Genomic DNA, 4,059 nt, shown 5'->3' on the forward strand with positions numbered 1-4,059 from the left:
GGCAGGCCCGGCTGGGAGGCTCAGCTTGTCCCGGGGACCGCCTGCCGGGTCTGCCCGCTGTCCTGCCTGCATGGACCACCAGCCTGAGCTGCCCGCTGTCCTGCCTGCAGGGCCTGCAGGCCCGGCTGGGAGGCTCAGCTGGCCCCGGGGACCGCCTGCCGGGTCTGCCCGCTCTCCTGCCTGCAGGGCCCGCCAGCCTGAGCTGCTCGCTGTCCTGCCTGCAGGGCCCGCCTGCCGGGGTTGCCCTCTAAGCTGCCTACAGGGCCGGCCTGCCGGGGCTGCCCGCTGTACGTCCTTCAGGCCCAGCTGGGAGGCTCAGCTGGCACTGGGGCCTGCATGCCGGGCCTGTCTGCTGTCTGGTCTTCGTTTTTGGTTCTCTTCATTTGGTTTATAAATTTGAGTTAATATTTGGAGCCATTTTCTCAACCCAATACAGCTTTGCTCCCATGACCTCCTTCGTACTCTTATTGGTGAACACATTACATTTATATATGGTACAGGAAGAAGAATGCATTGTATATATGCAGTTTTATACAACTGCTTTCTACATCGGTTAAGAGAAGAAAATAGAAGAATGTGCACTTATACTGCCTTTTGTAGTTTCATATTTACCTTTTATGGTGCCCTATGTTTTTTGTGTGTGATTTTGATTTACTGTCTGGGATCACTTGCTTCCAGCCTGATGAATTTCTCTTTTGATTTCTTATGAGGCAGATATTCCAGCGACATATTCTTTCAGTTTTGTTAATCTGGGTATGTTTTTATTATACCTTCATTTTAGAAACATAGCTGTGCTATGTTATAGGAATCTTGGTTGAGAATTTTTAAAATTTGGACATTGCGCATATTATCCCACTTCTTCCTGGCCTATATTGTTTTTGATGAGGAATCAGCAGTTAATCTTGCTGGGGTTCCCATTGAAGAGTTTAAGAGGATCCTTTTTAATTTCAAAGCTTTTGCTTTCTGCTGTCTCTTCCTGCTTTCAGAATTTTTTCCTTGGGATTAACTTTCAGCATTTTCACTATAATGTGTCTGTAGATCTCTTTGTATTTATTCTATCTGAACTGCACTGAGTTCCTGGATGAGAGTAAAATGTCATTCATTGTATGCCCTTGGGACCATTATCAGTGACTTTAAATGGTTGTTTTCATTTTTTAGTTTTTTTTTTGTAATTTTTACTAGTTTTGCTGGGGGCTAGATTTGTGGAGCTTTTCACACCAGCACACTCTCAGCTCACCCAGGAATCACGTAATTTTATTTTTAAAATTATTTTATGTATTTTTGAGACGGGGTCTCACTCTTTTGCCCAGGCTGGAGTGCGGTGGTGCATTGGTGCAGTCGCGGCTCACTGCAACCTCCACCTCCTGGGTTCAAGTGATTCTCCTGCCTCAGCCTCCCGAGTAGCTGGGATCACAGGTGTGCGCTGCCACACCCAGCTAATTTTTGTATTTTTAGTAGAGATGGGGTTTCACCATGTTGGCCAGGCTGGTTTCAAACTCCTGACCTCACGTGATCCTCCCACCTTCGCCTCCCAAGGTGCTGGGATTATAGCCCAGAATCATGTAATTTTAGAGACTGCATGCTAAGTGACATGTAAACTCTCCCTAAGAGGCAGAGAGATGGGGAGGGGATATCAGAATGCAACTCTATCTGGAATCTTGAATAAAGGAGATTTGGACATCACTGAAGCTAGACAGAGTCCAGCAGAGAGAGCTGAGTCCAAAAAGAAAGGAGAGGACAGAACCCATTCCAGGTGGAGCACCTCTCCTGTGTGTTTGACTAGGCCCTTGGCACATTTCCTAGCCTCATGGAGCCCTGGATCATGCACATTATTGCTCTCTTCACCCTTTGCACCTGCTCACATCTTTCTACTGCAGCAATGACTGTGGGAAGCTGTATTTGTCCATATACTTTGGGGCGTGTGTACATATTATTGGGACTTTTGTCTTTCTTTCTCCTCCCTCTCTCTCTGCATCATTACCTCATCTCCAGGACTCCGCCCTGAAAACTCCTGTGGCCTCATCTCTCTGAATGCCCCATCCTGTTATTTCAACTTTGTGTGTCTCCATGCTCCCCATGTATGGTCTGAAACCTGGAGCAGATTGTAATTCCCACCTAATTTGACTTTGTTATTCTGCATTAAATAATAACGATCTTATCTTAATGGCCAGAGAGGAGAATTTATTTTTGCCCCCACTTCTTGTGCAGGTCAACAAGAGGAGCTTAGTACTCCACACAATGACTTAGGAACCTGTGCTGGTGGTGGCACTGGCATCTTACAGCTGCTCCATCTGGAGAAGGTTCCAGGTTGGTTAATGGTAATTCTATGATTTGGAATCCTAAGCACCCATGTTAGACGTCAATACACGCTTTTCAGAAAAGAGCCTGCTCCAAGCTCGTAAAGGTGGACAGGGCAATTCCAGCCTCTGCATTATCATCATTTCCTCCTGATCAGGGTGGTAACACCTTTACTCTGCCCTCAGGTGATTCCAGCTCTTCATATAGCTGCTGCCTCACAGAATTAGGATGAGTAGTGGGAAGAACTGAGTGTGGGAATGAAGCAGATGGGACAGAGTCCAAGAACCCAAAAGCAAGGAGGAAGAGACAGTACCGGGGCATGAATAGCCTTGGAGGGTTCCTGACGCCAGCCTGCAGTTCCTGGAGCTCCAGCACCTCATCCACAACATTTGCGAATGGACAAGGCAGGAGTGAGGAAGAAAGGTTTCATCTTCAGAGAAGAGGTATCAGTAGTGTAGGGGTGAAGGTGATGGAAGAAACGGTTGTGGAACAAAAGGAATAGAAAGCTCCCGGCAAGGATGGAGGCAGCACTGTTTGTTGGACAACTGAATTGGCCCAGGTGGCCCCTGCACTCTCAGGTACCTGAGACTCCACCCGCCTTGCCTTACTGTCCACATTTACTCATGGTGACAACCCCCGCCCCCAAATTTCATTTGAATGACATGCGCAGGTGCATTTGCACTGAGATCTTTATTCTAGGCCTGGGGCCTTGGAGCAGTGGGCAATTGCAACACAGGACAGAGAAGAGAGTATTGTTTGTGTCCCTGTGATCAGACACATGCACACACTACACACACACACACACACACACACACACACACACACACAAGGACACGGGCACAGACATGGGTAGTAATGAGACCTATTAAGTATTTTCCCCTCCAGTAGGCAGATGTGCATGATACATAAATTACAAATAAGAGGAACCTTGTGAACACATTTCAAAGGCAAGATGAGTGAATATCGGTGACTTGTGGTTTTCATGTATTTTATAATTCAGTTCTTGGTATAAAATATATTTTATATTCCAACCTCGTATACACCTATACACTCTTGAAAAATCGAAAGAAGAGTTTCACTGAAGAAAACTTAATTTCACAAGGTGTGATACTCTCTGATGTTTTATTTTACATCATATACTAGTTCAATTAAAAAATAAATTCATTAAGCTCATCAGAATTGACTGTGCCTGCAATTTCAAAAATGAGTCGGAGGAACAAGATATTAATGACTGGGCACCGCCTCTCCCACCTCCACCTGATGCAGTGCTCGATGGTGAACTCACTGAGCCAGGCCATCTGTGTCCTTGCAAGGTGACCTTCCCTGTGCCCTTGCAGTGGGCATTGTGACACTTTCCTCTGAGACACTTCCACAGTTGTGTATCTCATGCTTTGTTTTCAAAACAGATTCCTTGAAGCCTGTGGTGGTTTAATCTGGCCAGCCTGGGAGGGACTATTCCACTTCACAGCGAATTTCTCTTTGATCCTTTTGCTAATTTCGTTCTGAGGTCAATCTTATTCCTGAGGTCCAAAGAGGTATCTCTCTGCTATGTCTCATTTTATTCTATTAATAGTGTATTAATATGGGCTGCTGAAGTTATTTTTTCTTAGCACTTATTAGGTGTTTGTATTTGTTTTATTTTATAATACTTACTCACTAAATATTAACCTTCACAATTGAGGCAACATGCCCAGGGGAAGAAAGCTGACCTCAGTGTCTGTCACTGTGTACAGGCTCCTGTGGAATTGTCAATGCTGAGCA

At 45.6% G+C, this 4,059-nt stretch overlaps 1 long non-coding RNA gene across 2 annotated transcripts; it reads left to right on the forward strand.

Annotated features, from left to right (window-relative positions):
• The first annotated feature begins 239 nt into the window (after positions 1-239).
• On the forward strand, positions 240-3,471 carry LOC124900609 (uncharacterized). 2 transcript variants are annotated; one of them, XR_001747662.2, is made up of 3 exons: positions 240-753; positions 2,209-2,307; positions 2,484-3,471. It is a non-coding gene; the product is annotated as an uncharacterized LOC124900609 (long non-coding RNA). The 2 variants fall into 2 exon arrangements; XR_001747663.2 differs by lacking the exon at positions 2,209-2,307.
• Positions 3,472-4,059: the final 588 nt, after the last annotated feature.

The sequence above is a fragment of the Homo sapiens genome, chromosome 10 (assembly GCF_000001405.40).
Source record: "Homo sapiens chromosome 10, GRCh38.p14 Primary Assembly".
Classification (NCBI taxonomy): domain Eukaryota; kingdom Metazoa; phylum Chordata; class Mammalia; order Primates; family Hominidae; genus Homo; species Homo sapiens.